The 20,207-nt window shown below is 44.4% G+C and overlaps 1 annotated feature.

Annotated features, from left to right (window-relative positions):
- Positions 20,062 to 20,161: a silencer, noted in NCBI's record as "silent region_6511". NCBI's record gives its function as "represses an Ori minimal core promoter by ATAC-STARR-seq in GM12878 lymphoblastoid cells {active_cell/tissue: GM12878}" and the evidence as "EXISTENCE:reporter gene assay evidence [ECO:0000049][PMID:35858748]".

Below are 20,207 nucleotides of genomic sequence, written 5' to 3'. Positions count from 1 at the left end.
TAGGTTAGAGGGTCATATCACACCCAGGCTAATTTCCCACATTGACATTTAAAGTGCTGTAAAAATGATCTGCACAATGAAGTGTTTTTACAGAGAAATTATTTGAATTTCTTGAGGGCATGAATTATATTTACATTGTATCCCTAATGACTGACTAACACAGGCTTGGCATATATTAGCCACATAGTGACAAATATGTTTGCATTAATTAGTAAATTACAATCTAATGAGCAGGTTTTAATAAAATTAAATAATGGTAATAATTCACTCACAGCACTAATGGAATCCTACCTTTTCAGATTAATTGACTTATCATGGTCAAGGACCATGAATTCTGGTTAAGGCTTATTAACAGAGGCTATTTGACAGTTTTCACTTGTAATCTCTTGGTTTCATAAACATGTTTCATTCAGGTGATAATAAATGAGATCATTTCTATATTTGACTCTTCAATACATACACACAGAATTGGAATGAGCTGGTAGTTATCAAGTCCTATCTTCCAGGCACTGCAGAATTCCCCTTTCAACCACTTGGTCTGTGTTTAAACATCCCCATAGATAACACACATAATAACAACCTTGAAGAAATGTGTGATCCTGGAGGGCCTTCTGAGTCATCACAGGATTAAGTCATGTTAGTAAATGATAGTTTGTGTTCTATAGTTTCATTCAACAAAAGCTCTTTTAGCACCTACAATATATAAAGCAACTTACTAGATACCATAAGAGGAATAAAGATGAACTGACACAGACCACTCCGTAAGAAGCACATGGCCTTCATGGGAGGTGGGACCCACACTTAAATAGTTAAAATACTAGGTAGAATTATGATATACTGGTAATGTACTGTGGTGCTAGTTTATAGTTCTTTTTTTTTTTTTTTGACAGAGTCTCACTCTGTCGCCCAGGCTGGAGTGCAGTGGTGCAATCTCCGCTCACTCCAACTTCTGCCTCCCAGGTTCAAGCAATTCTCCTGCCTCAACCTCCCAAGTAGCTGGGATTACAGGAGCGCGCCACCACGCCTGGCTAATTTTTTTATTATTTTGTGGAAATGGGGTTTCACCATGTTGACCAGGCTGGTCTTGAACTCCTGACCTCAAGTGATCCACCCGTCTCGGCCTCCCAAAGTGCTGGGATTACAGGCATAAACCACTGCGCGCAGCCTTATAGTTATTTCAAAACTAGTTTATATTTATTTAGACACTGGTAGTCTATAATTAAGTGGATTACCCAGTGTATTAGAACACCTAATTCCCTAACTATTGTTGATACATGGAAGGTTACCACACTCAGTATCAATGACATTGGGTTTTACTAGCAATCAACAGCATCACCTAAGAGCAATGCTCTTGGGTGAACCATCCCAGCAAGGTCTTGCTGACCAGCGTTGAGTCACCTACTTTAGACCCACAATTCACCTTAAATGGATGAGCAAGGAGGATGAATCAAGATGACATGGGAACCTGAACTGCATTGAGCGAGGTTTCAGGGATGCCTTCGGGAAGCTGGATGCTTGTACAGGCTGCAATATAGACCAAGTTGCCAAGTGACAACCAAAAATGGGATTAGTCAGGGAATAAAAATTGTCCCTAGCTTTCCAGAATGGCTCTATCTGAACAGATAGTGGATCTGTTGGGGAGAAGGTGAAGGGGGTAGGAAAAGAACCTGCCTGTTTACACCCCAGAAGTGACCACCACCTACTAGTCTGAACCAACTTTTAAATTCTGATTTGGGCTCTGTTTCTACCTCCATATGAAAAGCGAAAAAATTTAAAGGAAGCCGGGTGTGGTGGCTCATGCCTGTAATCCCAGCACTTTGGGAGGCCAAGGCTCTTGGATCACCTGAGGTCAGGAGTTCGTGACTAGCCTGGCCAACCTGTCTCTATTAAAAATACAAAAATTAGCTGGGCATGGGCGCCTGTAATCCCAGCTACTTGGGAGGCTAAGGCAGGAGAATCACTTGAACCCCCTGGGAGGCGGAGGTTGCGGTGAGCCAAGATCGTGCCATTGCACTCCAGCCTGGGCGACAGAGCGAGACTCCGTCTCAAAAACAGAATAAAACAAAACAAAAACTTTAAGGAAATTAAATTATATAACCAACCTCCAAAGATCATTAAGGAATGTATCCTTCATATATTATGAACAGTATTGTTGGAGAAAGTTGAACTAACCCTCGCCTGAGCCGAGAATCCAGAATTCAATGCTGTTAACGTTTGAACACACAACAACGAATTTGCATCCAAATAAACATTGTACACATTTCCTTACATCTTTTGCCTTGAGAATTTGGTGATGAAAATACTTTTTACATGTGGACATATTTCCCTTAATATTAAATGTTGTAAATTATTATGCAAAACTGAGATATGGGGGAACAATAAGGAAGCTCATAATTTTAGCTTCTTTGCATCTCAAAGCCAGGACTGTGATCATGACCCTGATTCTGAAGGAAATGATGTGGACAGAAGCTGTTTTGTCTGACAGCTCCTCACAACCTTGACTGACCCAAGCAACCCCCACAAAAAGCAATGCCCAGCAGTCCAGGGAATCAAGCTTCTCTTCCACCCCCTTGGTCCATTCTGGGGAGGCAGCAGCAGTGGCACTGACCTTAGGATCATCCTCTAGAGTTTTGATGTCTGGTTTTGTATGGGAGTGCAACCTTAGCAGTAAAATATTTACTTATGGAGCTCATTCATTTGTTCTCTGGCCCTTATACCTACTGGAGATAATGCCTACTGCCCAGAATAAGTAAGTTATTTATTGGAGGTAGCAGATAAAATATTGAAACAGCTCATGCCTTTGTGTTGTATAGTTGAGGTAGAAATAATGGTACCCAGATTTGTGCAGACTCTATTAACTCACATCTTTGGCTTATTTATTATTTGGCCAGATATGATTTGCTCTTAGGTCTTGGCAAGAGGGGCCTCTTCCCCTGGGGCCCACTGTGTAGAGAGCCCTATGCTACCCTTGTTCTCTTCTGGTCAGTCCTCTCCACTGGGCAAGGAGTTTACAGGCTAAGTGGATTTACTCACCCAGAGCCATGCCATCTTTTTAGGCTACATTCCAGGTACCCAGAACTCAGGATTCCCTGCCAATGGCCCTGCTTCCAGGATTGGTATGGGCCTCTTCTCCTGATCGATCTTTCTTTCTTTCTTTTTCTTCTTTTTTTATTTTTTGGAGACGGAGTCTCGCTCTGTCACCCAGGCTGGAGTACAGTGGTGTGATCTCAGCTCACTGCAACCTCCACCTCCGGGGTTCAAGCAATTCTCCTGCCTCAACCTCCCAAGTAGCTTGGATTACAGGCACACATGGCCACGCCCGGCTAATTTTTTGTATTTTAATAGAGACAGGGTTTCACCGTGTTGCCCAGGCTGGTCTTGAACTCCTGAGCTGAGGCAATCCACTCATCTCGGCCTCCCGAAGTGCTAGGATTACAGGCATGAGCCACCGTGCTCGGCCTTTTTTATTTATTTTTTATTTGAAACTGAATCTTGCTCTGTTGCTCAGGCTGGAGTGCAGTGGCGCAATCTCAGCTCACTGCAAGCTCCACCTCCAGGGTTCAAGTGATTCTCCTGCCTCAGCCTCTCGAGTAGTTGGGATTATAGGCACCTACTACCATGCCCAGCTAATTTTTGTATTTTTAGTAAAGACGGGTTTTCACCATGTTGGCCAGGCTGGTCTCAAACTCCTGACCTCAAGTGAGCCTCCCAAAGTACTGGGACTACAGGTGTGAGCCACTGCACCCAGCCCTGATCTATCCTTCTGAGGGTGGACTGTACAATTGGGCCATAGCCCCAAGTGGCCACCAAAAGGGGGTGATGATATGGCCAGCGCTTGGACATATGGGCTGGAATCCACATCGTGTGTGTGTGAGGCCCTTCATGATGTGGGCCCAATTTGAGGGGTGAAGGAAGGGCACTGTTCTGGGCCAGGGCTGCTCTCCTGGGCCACCACGTTTTGGTATGGACCTCTAAGGAGCTGAAATATTCTAAATTCAAACCAATTATCTGCATCATTGTAAAGGTATATCTGTCAAGGTAGGAAACCCAAGTTTGTTAGCTTTGGCTAGAATTTTTAAATATTTAGACATATGATATGTTGGTTTTCATTTTCATTCTTGCTCCATGCCCCACAAAATGGGGCCTGTCCTTGGAATGTGTTTGATTTTGAGTGTGTTTAAAATTCTAATATAAAGGCTCTGGTAAGTGGTTGGAGTGTGGGTAATGGGTGGGCCACTTTGCCACCAGGTCAAACAGAGCATTGCTGCCAACCAGCGCTCCAACTACGTTCCAACATCCTTCTGCTCCCTGACCCAACAAGGGAAACTGTGTGTGTGTGTGTGTGTGTATGTGTGTGTGCGTGTGCGCATGTGTGTGTGTGTGCTTGCGCGCGCATGTGTGTAATATCCACTGAGAATCAGGAAAACATGACCTGGCTGTGCTCACATCATCCAAACCTCACACTGATGTTCTGTTCTAGATCGCCACGGCTGCTCTGCCAAGCTTCTCTTCCCACTTGGCTTCCTTTAGCTGCTCAGAGTTAGGAGCTAGGCATTTTGAAGTCCTCCTCCAGGAGAAGAAGAATGAACTAGAAAGGGAATCATGCCAGGCTTCCTTGATTGAACCCCACTTCACTTCAGCAAATCCTTAAGCCTTTCTGTCTGTTTTGTCAGCTGTAAAATAAGCAGACTAATTCAGCTCTACCTCAGAGGGCAATGAGTGGCAGGTTTAATTAATGCTGATTGTGATGGGCTTTGTAATGTAAAGTTGTATATAAATGAAAAAGAGCTTTAGAGCCATTTTATCCAAAGTCAGCTAAGTTTGGAGTGCATCCTGCTTTCCACTGCTATGGTTAAGCCTCTGAGTCCTGATCACAGACTGCTGCAGACAACAGAGGAGCAGGAAGGCACAGTTGGCTCACATTGCCTGAACAGAAAGCAGGGCTTAGCAATGGCAGTGGGGGGGCAGAGCATGTAATCAACGCACATCTCAGATGTCTGCATGGCAGGCAGCTCCAAAATTCACTGGGTCCAGCTGGTGGCAGATGATGGGCTGGTTTTTGCAATCAAAGTACAAAGAACAAGGTGTATCCGTTTATTCCTGGGACTGTTCTGGAGAGATCCTTGAGATCTAAAGTGTCACACTGAGGGAAAAGCTCTTTCCAAAGATCTCCTCTGCAGGTCTTCCTATCATCCCTGCCTGGGTTTGCTGGCTGACAGCTCATGATAGGAGTCTTTTCTTCAGGGACAGTGCTTACTGAGAACACGCTACGAGGCTCAGGCCTATCTAGGATCCATTCCTTCCTTTAAAGTCTTGTGTCTTTCCTACTTCACTTAAAGACATGGTGATATGGTTTGGATTTGTGTCCCTGCCGAAATCTCATGTGTGAATTGTAATCCCCAGTGTTGGAGGAGAGGCCTGGTGGGAGATGATTGGATCATGGGGGCGGCCTTCCCCCTTGCTGTTCTCGTGATAGTGAGTTCTTATGACATCTGGTTGTTTAAAAGTCTGTAACACCTCTCCCTTAGCTCTCTTCCCCCTGCTTCGGCCATGTAACACGTGCCAGGCCGAGAGCAGTGGCTCATGCCTGTAATCCTAGCACTTTGGAAGGCCGAGGCGGGCAGATCACGACGTCAGGAGATCGAGACCATCCTGGCTAACGCAGTGAAACCCCATCTCTACTAAAAATACAAAAAATTAGCTGGGCGTGGTGGCGCATGCCTGTAGTCCCAGCTACTTGGGAGGCTGAGGCAGGAGAATCGCTTGAACCTGGGAGGCTGAGGTTGCTGTGAGCCAAGATTGTGCCACTGCACTCCAGCCTGGGCAACAGTGGGAGACTCCATCTCAAAAACAAAAACAAACAAACAAAGACAATGTGCCTGCTTTCTCTTCGCCTTCCACCATGATTGTAAGTTTCCTGAGGCCTCCCCAGCCATGCCTCCTGTACAGCGTGTGGAATTGTGAGTCAAACCTCTTTTTATAAATAAATTACCCAGTCTCAGGTAGTTCTTTATACCAATGTGAGAACAGACTAATATACATGGCTACCTAACTTACCAGAAGTCATAGTGGTCCCACTGAGGATCACACCTGGGCACTGTTGGTTACTTTGGCTAACATGGGATTTCTGTCTCTTTCACACAATTCATCTAGCAACATTCACATGCAGCAAATCATAACTTGTATATGCTTAGTGGACATGACCACTCCTTCCCTTAATCTCTTAGAGCCCTGTGTTTCCAGGATGACAGATCATATTCAGTATTATGTTATAATTATGCTTATACAGGCTCTTCCTAATATTAGATGACCTTGAGCTCCTCAAAAACCCCAAGAGGGTCTTAATCATTTTTATATTGCCCTTGACCTCGGTACTTCTTTATAGAAAATATAAAAGATACTTGTTCAAATGCACTGGAAATAAAGACATAATGAGTGATGAAAACGATAGGAAGGCCTAATGTCCATTAGGGAGTTTTGTTTTCAAAATTTAAAAAAAATCTTGTTGGAAGATCTAGATATATTATATTCATAAGGATGAAAGGTCTTCAGCTTCAGCCAGACTTAGGTTTATAGCTTGGTTCTGCAAGTTACCATTTCTGAGAACTTAGGAATGGTACTTAACTATCTCTGTGCCTCAGTTTCCTCATGTGTAAAATGGGGATAATATTACTATCTACCTCATAGGGATGTTGGAAAGATCAAATTAGATAATCCATGTGAAGAGTGCCTAGCACGGTGCCTGGCACAAAATCAGTGCTCAGGTGATATCATCATCATCATCATCACCACCACCACCACTATCAGAGATTATGGGGGAAGGAGTCTTAGTTGCTCTCCAAGGCTCACAGTATAGCCTTTGGATTTAACAACGTGCCCCATAGTTCCCTTAATGGCACCTTATAAGTCAGAAGCAGGACCCACTTAGGTCAGAACCTCTAGATTTTCTGCTTCTCACCCCTTATTTCAGATTTTCTTCTTTGGCCACTTGAAGAAGTGTGAATAAGATAGTTCTCATTTAGACATAATGTGAGGGCTGTTTAGAAAGGCATTTTGCAAATAAATTACTTGTATATTATGCATAGTAATTTTGTTGGTTGTAAAATATACTGTTAGACACATGTAGATCCTTGTAAACTGACTCAGTTCCAATGTACTTGGTATGTCTTTAGTTTAAATGGTTTCTCCCCTCAACATGTGGTCCTCGGATTTGATTGTTCCACAGGAAAAAATGTTTTTGTTGTAGACATTCACCACCAGTTTGCCGAAGTTTGTGGAGAAAATGTTTTCAGTTAACAAACAATGTCCCATTAATGCTAGGGGTTTGAGGGAGAAGGCAGGCAGCCTGGAGGGGGTAGCGCAGAGCCACCAGCTGTGGTGCCAAAGGCAGCAAAGACGCCTGGAGGGAGTGGGCACCTTTAGGGTCTTCTGTTCAGTCTGTGCCTCCTTTCCTCAAAGTTGCCCCTAGCCTTCTTCCACAGGGGTGGCCCCAGCAGTCACTGTCTCCTCAAGTGGCCCTGAGGCTCTACCACAGATGACCAGGGTAGACACTCCTGACCCAAGCTGAGACAACCAGATTCTCTCTCCAGGGCACCTGGAATTAGGACACAGGCCTCTGGTCAGTCACAGTTGGCCCTGGAACTAGGACAGCTTATACTGGGGGGCTGGCCTGGCCATTTTCACTGTGTACCATAGAAGGAAAACTGGGCTGTGGAGAAAGGAGACTGACACAGTGTCAGGGAGAAAGAGATGAGAAACCAGGTCACCCCAAGAGAAAAAGGGAGGTGGCAAGAGCATGGCTGTCTCCATTCACAGTGGCCTCTCAGGGCTTTGTTCCCACCCCATGTGGCCCAGCTGCCCTTCCTGCCCTGGCGGGTGCCCAGCACACTCTCCATTTTAGCTCAGGCAAGTGTGAGATGCCTCTGTTACTGGAAACCCAAGGAGACTTGGCTAAGTCCGTGGGCTGGCAGGGAGAGAGGCTTAGCCAGAGATTCTGGTTGCACAGAAAGTGTCTGCCTGTTCACACCTACCCTGCTAGTCCCATCACACTCAACTGGCCTGTCTAAATCAGACATGCACAGATAATTTTTACTGATCACAATATTAAATGCAACAGATTCACACTTATCCCTAAAATAATGTTTTCTCCTAGTCACTTCCTGATATACCTTCTTGTGTCATAGGGAAGTGGATGGATGGCATTATAGATGGCATACCCAGAACAAAACAGGATTGGCACTGGTCTTGCCAATTCCCCTGACAATCGGTCAGTCCCATTGCTGGGGCATTTGATACTCATCTGTAGCTTTGGCCCTGCCCCGGGTTCACATGCAAATCCTCTGTCTAGATGGAAGGCTTTAAGAAGCCCTGTCTCAGTAGTTCAGGAGACACAGTTAGTTTACTCTGTGACTTGTCCTGCTTTTTTTTTTTTTTTGAGACAGAGTCTCGCTTTGTCACCCAGGCTGGAGTGTAGTGGCATGATCTTGGCTCACTGCAACCTCGGCCTCCTGGGTTCAAGCAATTCTCATGCCTCAGCCTTCTATGCGTGCCACCATGCCTGGCTAATTTTTGTATTTTTAGTAGAGACGGGGTTTTGCCATGTTGGTCAGGCTGGTCTTGAACTCCTGACCTCGTGATCCACCTGCCTCAGCCTCCCAAAGTGCTGGGATTACAGGCGTGAGCCACCACACCCAGCAGGACAAGTTACTTAATTTTTCTAGAACCCAAAGGGATTGTTGAAAAGATCATATGAGCTAATGTGCCTGGCAAAATGTAGCAGGTATTTGATAAAATAAAACTGTCTTTCTTTCCTGTACTTAGATTTTTTTAACAGGTTTATTGAGATATAATTTACATACCATACAGTTCGCCAATTAAAATATACAATTCATTAGTTTTTAGGGTGGGGCACGGTGGCTCACGCCTGTAATCCCAGCACTTTGGGAGGCAGAGGCAGTTGGATCACAAGGTCAAGAGATCGAGACCATCTCGGCCAACATAGTGAAATCCCCTCTCTACTAAAAATACAAAAATTAGCTGGGTGTGGTGGCATGCACCTGTAGTCCCAGGTACTCGGGAGGCTGAGGCAGGAGAATCGCTGGAACCCAGGAGGCGGAGGTTGCAATGAGCCGAGATCGCATCACTGCACTCCAGCCTGGTGAAACAGCGAGACTCCGTCTCAAAAATAAATAAATAAATAAACGAATAAAAAATAAAAAAATTAAAAAACATTTTTAGTATATTCACTGTATTTAGATTTCTTAAAATGCAATTATAGCATAAGGAATGTGAGGTTTAATAGTTTTAAAAGACAGGATTTTAGTCAGCTATAAGTTTATGTAAATCAACAGTGTGATACCACTGCATTGACAAAAAAACCTTTGTGATATTGGGATGTATTGATACACTTACGATAATCCGAACAGGACAAGTAATAATTCCCTGTTATTCTCAGCTGGCAGTGTGTTCAGTCATTGGGCCTATTTTAAGAGAGAAATGGGCAAATTGGAGCATGACTAGAGAAATGTGATAAGGGTGATGGGAAACTGTTTATAGGAGCCAATGATACTCATCCTGGAGAAATAAAGCCTTAGAGGAGATGAAATATCATCCTTAATTAGCTCTAGAGTTTATTTTTATTTTTTTAGAGACAGAATCTCACTCTGTCGCCCAGGCTGGAGTGCAGTGGTGAGATCACAGCTCACTCATAATCTCAAACTCCTGGGTTCAAGTGATCCTCCCTCCTCAGTCTCTTGAGTAGCTGGTACTATAGGCATGTGCTACCATGCCCAGCTAATTTTCTTTTTTTGGTAGAGATAGGGTCTCCCTATGTTGCTCAGGGTGGTCGTGAACTCCTGGCCTCAAGTGATCCTCCCACCTTGACCTCCCAAAGTGCTGGGATGGTAAGTGTGAGCCACTGTGACCAGCCTAGACTTGTTTGTAAAATGAATGATATGTATTTCTATGTTCCCTCCCTAGACAGAACTTCAATAGGTGAATTCAAATTAAAAAGCAAGCAGATTTTGATACAACATAAGGAATAAGTAGAGCTGTCTAAAATTGGAGTGGATTATCCCTAATGTGGAATGAATTTTTTTCTTTTTTTTTTTTCAGTAGAGATGGTTTCTCACTATGTTGCCCAGCCTGGTCTCAAACTTCTGAGCTCAAGTGATACTCCTGCCTTGGCCTCCCAAACTGCTAGGATTACAGGCGTGAGCCACCACACCTGGCCTCTAATCTGAAATTCTATCTTTAATATTTAACCACATTATTTACAAGTCAGAAAGCAATGTCCCATAGAGCCCTTACTCTGTGCAATGTATTATGCCCAGGCAGGTAAAATTATTAAGAAGGTCAACTCTTCTTTATTCAAGGCCAATTTTCCAGTCTGTGGATTAGTCTAACAGATCATCCTTTCTTTCATTTTTCATTTCTGCTCCCTGCTTTTTGATCAGAGGATAGAGGAAAAGAATCCCAAAATGATCAATACAGATATTTTATTAGCAGTTCTGATGATAATGGAAATACTCCAAGAAGACTTAGGTATTACCGATCAGAAGGTTGTGCTCATCTCTTCCCAACTCTCTGTAAATTGACTTCACCTTAGTAGACTGAAAGTGGTCATAGTGGGAATATTTTCACCATGGAAATTAGCAAACACTACTGATCAGCACACCTACCCCTTCCTCCCCACCTCCAAGCTCGCTGACCAATGCCCTACTGTTTGAGAGTCTATGCTACCTAATGACTACTGGCCTGGCACGACTAAATGACAATAGCCCTTCTAGTAGATTGTTCAATTATGTGTCTCTATAAAAATACATTTAAAGCCAATGCTATTTCATGTTTTTTTGTTTGTTTGGAGATGGAGTTTCACTCTGTCACCCAGCCTGGAGTACAGTGGCACTATCTCAGCTCACCGCAACCTCCTCCTCCCGGGTTCAAGTGATTCTCCTGCCTCAGCCTCCCGAGTAGCTAGGATTACAGGTGCCCGCCACCACACCCAGCTAATTTCTGTATTATTAGTAGAGACGGGGGTGGGGGTGGGGGGGGGGCACAGCTCACCATATTGGTCAGGCTGGTCTCGAACTCATGACCTCAAGTGATCCGCCTGCCTCAGCCTCCCAAAGTGCCGGGATTACAGGCGTGAGCCACCTGCTGCTATTTCACTTTTGTGTGAGGGCAATTGGAATTTAAGTGGTTTCCTTTAGTTAATGAGTTTCAGATGAGTGAAATATTGGGGAAATACTTAGGGAAGACTAGCTTTACTCTCACCTGCCCTGTAGGCCATATATTCTGTCTTTAGGGAAACCCAAAATAACTATGTTCTGTATATTGAAGGGGGCTATTATGCATAGCTACTTATGGAATGGCTGTGTAACATGAGTAGGAAGACATCTCCAAGGTGAAGGCCCCCTGGAAACAGGAAGTTAAAGTTCTCTGCTGGCCAGCACTTGTCCTGTATAAGTGGCTCCTTGTGCCACCTATTGGATCTTGAAATAATAGTCTCTGAGCTTTTGATTCAGAGACTCCAGTAAGTATTTTTTGCAGATAGAACATATTCTCATCATCTTCCTTAAGGCACAACTGTTGTAATGACATTGCATTTTACAAGTTGTTATGAGGGAAATGCCATCAGTCCAAGATTCCCAGAGCCAACTGATTTCTTTTGCAAACGCTAAGCACCCGGGAGAACTTATACAGCAGTGGTTCTCAACCCTAGCTGCTGATGGAATTACCTGGGGAGTTTACAAAAACACTGCCAGCTGGGTTCTACCCCCAAGTACTCTAATTTAATCGACTTCAGCTGCTCCTTTGGTGATTCTAATGTACAACAAATTTGGGTTTTATTGACTTAGAGGGTTCCTAGAAGTGGTAAGAGAGAATGAGATTTGCTAGAATGAACGGGGGAAGAGAGGTGCTTTCCTGCTCCAATGTGGAGAAAAATCCTTTATTTGTTACCCTGGAGTAGTAGGAATCTGGGTTCTAGCTTCCTGACAACCACTAGGAATTACAGTTGGCATTTATTGAACACTTGCGGTATACTATGCCTCATCTCATTTTTTCTTCATATAACCTTATGAAATAGGTATAAATATTTTCATTTTATAGATAGAGACACAACTTAGAGGTTAAACGGCTATTAAAGTTTCTGTGCTCCCTGGAAATAGGGTTTCCAAATTGCTTACTGTTTTGTATATAGCAGACATTCCATAAATAGTTGAATAAGTTTTTCAGTGTGAATAAGTAGAACACCATTCTTCTTTGTACTTTGAGCCCTTTAACCCATTAGCCTTTTAGTCAGCTTTTATCTAATGGAAAAACAGAATGCTTTTCACTTATTTTGCTTGTACCCACTTCCCAAGGGAAGAAGCAGCAGAGGTTACTACAGTGTCGTCGCATTAACTCTGCAGTGACTTTGAATCACTTTCCTAATTTTATCTTATTTGTTTGTTTGTTTTTGGAGACAGGGTCTCAATGTCACCCAGGCTGGAGTGTAGTGGTGCAATCATGGCTCTTTGCAGCCTCACCCTCCCGGGCTCAAGCGATCCTCCCACCTCAGCCTCCTGAGTAGCTGGGACCACAGGCACATGCCATCATGCTCACCTAATGTTCTTTTTTCTTTTTTTGTAGAAATGAGATCTGGCTGTGTTACCCAGGCTGGTCTTGAACTTCTGGCCTTAAGCAATCCTTTCCCTTGGTCTCCCAAAGTGTAGGGATTACAGTTGTAAGCCACCGCACCTGAACTTTCCTAATTTTAGAAACAAGTTAACTGAGGCTTAGGCAGAATTCAGTGGTCTTTTGGTCTTTTCATAACACCAAGTTGAGACAGAGGAATGATCAAAGGAGTGCATCAAGAAGGATCAACTAAAACTATGATGAGAAGAAAGGGATTCTGGATAACTGGAATCATTATTAAAGAATGACCATCAAGTCAGCTCTATTGAGTATGGTACTCAGCATATTCCTGGAGTGCCCATTATGCACTGTGCTAGGCTTTTGGGGAGATGAGACCAAATTCTGATCTTCAAGAACCCTATGGGCCAGGCACAGTGGCTCACGCCTGTAATCCCCGCACTTTGGGAGGCCAAGGCAGGCAGATCACCTGAGGTCAGGAGTTTGAGACCAGCCTGGCCAACACAGTGAAACCCCCTCTCTACTAAACAGTGGCTCCTGCCTGTAATCCCAGCTACTCAGGAGGCTGAGGCAGGAGAATTGCTTGAACCTGGGAGGTGAAGGTTGCAGTGAGCTGAGATCGCGCCACTGCACTACAGCCTGGACGACAAGAGCGAGGCTCCATCTCAGAAAAAAAAAAAAAAAAAGCCTATGGACTTTTGGGGAAGAGAAGGCATGACACATGGAAAGTGAAATAGCATAGCAGTATAAGAGCATTTTTTAAAAAGTTCATATAAGACAGCAGTAGTTATTGACAAGTGGTTAAGGTAGGGATTAAGAGTTCAGAAAGGGGAGAGATTATATTTGCATAAATTTATGCTGGCCTCAGCACCCTCATAAAACACCTTGACAGTATGAACTGTGCGTTACAATGAAGTCTGAGAAAACACCGTGTCTCTCAGTAGCTTACCTTCCCCTCTGGAGTCTCGGGCGGATAGTGAGAAGGTTTGCAGGAAGCAATGGTAGGGGAAATGAAGAGACCTGATCATCAAGGCAAGCAGGACAAGTGCTAGGAGATCTCACCTGGCTGCCAAGCTTGGCTATTTTGAAATATTAATGATTTTTTTCTCCCTGTATTTTTCCCTCATTCTCCTTTTAAGCATTAGAAGCATATAGTACTTTCTGGGCTTTGCTTTTATAAATTCTAAGCCCTCCAGACAATTTATAGCAGGAAGTGCAATGCTGGCTGTTCATGGAATCACCTGGGGAGTTTTAAAAATACTGCCGCCTGGGTTCCACCCCTAAATACTCTAATTTAATTGACCTCAGCTGCTCCTTTGGTGATTCCAAAAAGCAAACAACTTTGGTATCACTGACTTAAAAGGTTCCTAGATATGGTAAGAGAGAATGAGATTTGCTGGAATGAATAGAGTATCTTGGAGAAGCAGTGAAAGAGGAGTGCTTTCCTGTTCCAATATAGAGAAAAATCCTTGATTTGTTACCCTGGAGTAGCAGAAACCTGGGTTCTGGCTTCCTGACGGCCCCAGCGGGGAGGTAGGAAGACTCCAGAGAGAATGGCAGTGTGATATATCTAGGCCAGTGCTTCTCACACAGGGATGTGCACAAGGATCACCATTGTTAAAATGCAGATTCTGACTCAGTAGTTCAGGGGTGGCGCCTGAGAGTCTCTATTTCCAAAAAGTTTGTAGGTGGCTGGTCCACAAAGTGGCAAGGATCTACATGGCTAGGACTACAGGCTGTCTCCTTTAAGATTCCCATATCCATTTCAAGCATAGAACAGGAGGAGCCGCAGCCTGTTAAAACTGAATGGTCCCACAGGCAGGGACAAAGGATGTTTCTGCGGTGATTTGGTTTGATTGATGACTGAGGAGCAGATGGACCCCAACTGCAACGCCTTCTAGGCTAAAAGAGGACCACATCCTGACAGGGGATCCTCGTGTCAGGGTCTTGGCAGATCACAGATGGCCACTCAGAAGGGATGACTGAAGAGAGTTTCATGAAGCATCCTCATGAATAACAGATAGATGGCAACTCTACAGTTGGCACTTTGGGGGCCATGGGTGTGGTCCTGTTGGAGAACTGGTAGGCAGAAAAGACACACACTTGCAGAAGTTGCTGCTGATTTCAGGAGTGTGTTGAGAATGAGCCACAAGCACTTTAATAACTGCCAATAGGTGGACAATGGAAGAGAAAAAAGAATGCAGTCTTGTTATAGTTTCCTGATGACACAGATTTCTCGAAGTGTCTCAGAAAAATACTTAGAAAGGGTATGAAAAGTTATCTTTAGGCCGGGCGCGGTGGCTCACGCCTGTAATCCCAACACTTTGGGAGGCCAAGGTGGGTGGACCACCTGAGGTCAGGCGTTCGAGACCAGCCTGGCCAACATGGTGAAACCCCGTCTCTACTAAAAATATAAAAATTAGCTTGGGCGTGGTGGCATATGCCCGTAGTCCCAGCTACTGGGGAGGCTGAGGCAGGAGAATTGCTTGAACCTGGGAGGTGGAGGTTGCAGTGAGCTGAGATCATGTCACTGCACTCCAGCCTGGGCGACGGAGTGAGACTCCATCTCAAAAAAAAAAAAAAAAAGAAAAGTTATCTTCAGTCTGGGCAACATGGCAAAACCCCGTCTCTACAAAATTTTTAAAAAATAAGTCAGGTGTGGTGGTACACATCTATGGTCCCAGCTACTCTGGAGGCTGATGAGATTGCTTGAGCCCAGGATGTGAAGGCGACAGTGAGCTGTTTCACACCACTGCACTCCAGTGTGGGCAACAGAGTGAGACCTTGACTCAGAAAAAGAAAAGTTATCTTTAGGACCTCCACCTCAAACTCTAAATTTTTTTTTTTTTTTTTTTTTTTGAGACGGAGTCTCATTCTGTTGCCCAGGCTGGAGTGCAGTGTCGCGATCTCAGCTCACTGAAACCTCCGCCTCCCGGGTTCAAATGATTCTTCTACCTCAGCCTCCTGAGTAGCTGGGATTACAGGCACACACCTTGATGTCTGGCTAATTTTTGTATTTTTAGTAAAGATGGGGTCTCACCATGTTGGCCAAGCTGGTCTTGAACTCCTGACCTCAAATCATCCATCCGCCTCGGCCTCCCAGAGTGCTGGGATTATAGGCATGAGCCACTGCGCCTGGCCTGAATTTCTTAAAAGCAAAACTAAACTAAACCCTTGATCATCTTTCTGGGAAAAGGGCATAGGCATTGAAAAACTTCAGTCCAGGGGAAAGCTGGGGATCTGATTTATTTAGAGCAGCACTTGGGGCCTGAAATTTAGCACTAGTTGGGTTCCCGGCTTAGCCTGTCCGAACACCTATGTGTTTTATCAGCACTAGAAGTTGGTAAAGGGAGGCTGGGCGCAGTGGCTCACACCTGTAATCCCAGCACTTTGGGAGGCCGAAGTGGGCGGATCACCTGAGGTCAGGAGTTTGAGACCAGCCTGGCCAACATGGTGAAACCTCGTCTCTACTAAAAGTACAAAAATTAGCTGGGCATGATGCGTGCACCTGTAGTCCCAGCTACTTGGGAGGCTGAGGCACAAGAATCACTTGAACCCAGGAGGCAGATGTTTCAGTGAGCCGAGATCGGGACCACTACACTCCAGCCTGGAATTCCATCTAAAAAAAAAAAGAATTTGGTAAAGGGAGATGGGAGTAGAGATGGCCCCCACACCCTTCTGAGGTGAAGGGAGCCAGTGCCAAATGGAAGGTTTCAGTGGCACCTACTTAGACCTGGCCAGCTAGAATGGATGGAAAGTTCTCAGGGCAGTAAATAGGATTTTGACTGGTGCTCTACAGTTCTTTGGAAAGCCAGGTGGGAGCTCCTTCTGCAGGATCCCTGAGAGCAGGGTGCCAAGTGTAAAGGGACTCCAGGGCCCTCCATCTGCCATCAGTGCAGGGGCCTGAAAACATTTTAGGAGAAACTGAGCTTTGGAGGAGGAGGCAGAGTTGTAATTAGAGTCCAGGTCTTCTTGACCTGGAAAATTTTATTTCTCAGGCTGCCTGTGAGTGTCTGAGAGGCTGGAGGATTTTGACACTACACCGGGCATTAGTTAACAAGAACTGAAGCCATAACTAGGCCTAATAATCAGAAATTGTTCTGAGACCTATGATACATGAAGTGCCAAAATAAATTCCAACTTAATTAAAAAGTTAAAGAATAAATATCACAAGAGAATTAGAAGAAAGCAACGGCAAATATTCAGTTAATCCTACAGTGACCAAGTCCTCTCTAAACACAATAGCAAAAGGGAAAAAAGCAATAAATTTGAAATATGTATGTGTGTGTGTGAATATATAACATTAAAAACTTCTGCATGATTAAAACAAATTATCAAAAAATAAAATTAGGCAGGGCACAGTGTGTCACAGTGTAATCCCAGCATTCTGAGAGGCAGAGGCAGGAGGATTGCTTGAGGCTGGGAGTTTGATGCTGCACTCCAGCCTGGGCAATAGAGCAAGACCCTGTTTCAAAAACACAAGAAAACAAAAGTAGAAAAATGCTAATGGCCAATAAGCATATGGAAAATATTAATTACAACAACAATGAAATATGACAAAGTATTAGTTCAAAACAATAGTTCTTCTGGATTGAGATAGGGAAAAACAAAATATCCAGTATTATCAAGGGTGCAAAGAAAGGGACATTCACATACATTTATATCTGGAAAATAAATTGGTTTCGCTTTTCTGGAGGGTAATTTGGCAGTTTATATTACAAACCTTAAAATGTGCATAACTTTTGACTCAGCAATTCCTCCTCCAGGAATTTATCCTAAGGGAATGAGGACAAACACAAAAACGTATCTATAAAAATGTTTATTGTAGCGTTAATAATGAAAAGTTGCTGGGAGGGAGTACTGAATGTTAAGCTTTGACAGAGCTAGGTAGTGGGTACATGGATCTTCATTTATTGCATTAATTTTCTATTGTTGCTGTAATCAATTACCATAAATGTAATGGCTTAAAACAACATAAATGTATTTATTTATTTATTTATTTATTTATTTATTTATTTATTGAGACAGAGTCTCGCTCTGTTGCCCAGGCTGGAGTGCATTGGCGCCATCTCCGCTCACTGCAACCTCTGCCTCCCAGGTTCAAGCAATTCCCCTGCCTCAGCCTCCCAAGTAGCTGGTGTCTACAGGTGTGTGCCACCACGCCCGGCTAATTTTTGTATTTTTAGTAGAGACGCAGTTTCACCATGTTGGCCAGGCTGATCTCGAACTCCTGACCCCAGATGATCTGCCCACCTTGGCCTCCCAAAGTGCTGAAATTACAGGCAACAAGACAAATTTATTATCTTACAGTTCTGGACAGAAGTCTGAGCCAGGTCTTATTGGGCTAAAGTTGAGATGTTGGCAGGGCTGTGTCCCTCTTTGGGAGATCCAGGAGGGAGTCCATTTCCTTGCCTTTTCCAGCTTCTAGACGCTGCCCACATTCCTTGGCTCATGGCCCTCTTCCATCTACAAGCCATCAACATAGCACCTCTCAGACCTTCCATTACCACATCTCCTTCTCGCTCTTCTGTCTTCCTCTTCCACTTTCAAGAACCCTTGTGATTCCACTGGGCCTACACAGATAATCCAGGATACTCCTTCTAGATTAAATCAGCTAATCAGCAACCTTTATTCCACTTGCCATGTAACTAAAGGTTCTGAGGATTAGGCCACTGATGTCTTTGGGGGCCACTATTCTGTGTATACAATTGTATTATTCTATATACTTATATACATTAAATATTTAATATTCACCAATTTTTATTAATTTTTAAGTATCAAATATTTAAAAACCCAAACCTAATGCCCAATTTAGTGTATGGCTGAAGTGAAAATATATATAGTCACAGGACAAATGCTATATGCCCATTAAGAAGCATAATGTAGAATATTCCAGCCTGGGCAACATGGCGAAACCCCATCTCTACAAACATTACAAAAATTAGCCAGGCGTGGTGGCTTGTACCTGCAGTCCCAACTACTCAGGAGGCTGAGGGGGGACAATTGCTTGAGCCCAGGAGGTCGAGGCTGCAGTGAGCCAAGATTGTGCCACTGCACTCCAGCCTGGGCAACACAGTGAGACCTTATTTAAAAAAAAAAAAGAATATGTAGTGACATGGAGTGATGCTCATTTTATAGTAAGTGGGAGGAAAATTCAAGTCTACAAAAGATTATGCACAAGATGATCCCAATTAGGTTAAGTCAAAACCCAAAATAAACCTATATCCAAGAGAGTAAAAAATATTGGGAAGGATATAGGTCAAAAGTTAAAAATGTTTATTTACAGATGGTAAATTTTCTTCTATTTTTCTGCATTTCCCAAAATGTATATTATACATGTATCCTTTTTGCAAAGACAAATAAGGTGATTAAGAACATCAAGTCAGGGCGGGACGCGGTGGCTCACGCCTGTAATCCCAACACTTTGGGAGGCCAAGGCGGGCAGATCACTTGAGGTCAGGAGTTCGAGACCAGCTTGGCCAACATAGTGAACCCCCCCCCCACCATCCCCCGTCTCTACTAAAAACACAAAAAGTAGCCGGACATGGTGATGGACACCTGTAATCTCAGGTACTTGGGAGGATTGAGGCAGGAGAATCGCGTGAACCCAGGAGGCGGAGGTTGCAGTGAGCCAAGATCGCGCCACTGTACTCCAGCCTGGGTGACAGAGCAAGACTCTGCCAAAAAAAAAAAAAAAAAAAAAAAAAATCCAGTTAGACCAATTTTCTGGTAAAGTGTCTTTCTGGTTTCTTGCCTTTTGGTCGCCCATGACACCCATTTTTCAAGCATAGAGTTTCCTCCTCAAAAATAGAGCATGCTGTCACGCGCCGGTAGTCCCAACTACTTGGGAGGCTGAGGTGGAAGGACTTCTTGAGCCTAGGAATTGGAGACAAGCCTGGGCAATATAGCAGGACCCTGTCTCCAAGGAAAAAAAAAAAAAAAAAAAGAATAATGGCGTGTTCCTGTGGTCCCAGCTACTCGGGAGGCTGAGGCGGGAGAATCGCTTGAGCCCAGGAGGTCGAGGCTGCAGTGAGCTGTGATGGCACCATTGCATTCCAGCCTGGGCAAAAAAGCGAGACCTTGTCTCAAATAATAATAATGATAAAGACTCATGTTCGGTCATCGGTGACATTCGCCTTTCTCAGGCCCCCTAGTTGTCCACTCTGCAAAGGACGAGTAATCCTCGGAAGGGGTGGGGCCTCTTAGTGAATGAGGCACAGCAGCGAATCCGTGCTGTTTTAAAAACTTTTTTTCAGAACAAAGCAAACCTAAGGCACAGCCATACCCCGCAGAAAACTTCGAAATCTGCGCCTTGAAAAGGGAAGCCAAAAGGATACGAGCCTCTTTCATAATCTCTCTGGCACGTATTAATGGTTAATAATACTGTATTTTTTAATACACAAAAGAAGAGAATAGTGGCATTGCCCCGTGTGCCCACCCCCAGAGCTAACCGAGAGCGGCCGGGCCAGGGGGCCGGGGGCTGAGCGGCCCGCCGGGTTCCGGGGTGGCGCCGGCCCCGGTGGCCGCGGGCGCTCCCTCGCCATGGCCTAAGCCCGAGGCCGCTCCCCAGC

This window comes from Homo sapiens, chromosome 15, assembly GCF_000001405.40.
Source record: "Homo sapiens chromosome 15, GRCh38.p14 Primary Assembly".
Classification (NCBI taxonomy): Eukaryota; Metazoa; Chordata; class Mammalia; order Primates; family Hominidae; genus Homo; species Homo sapiens.
The sequence above is the reverse complement of the archived record's forward strand: the minus strand, read 5'-3'. Positions and strand labels throughout refer to the sequence as shown.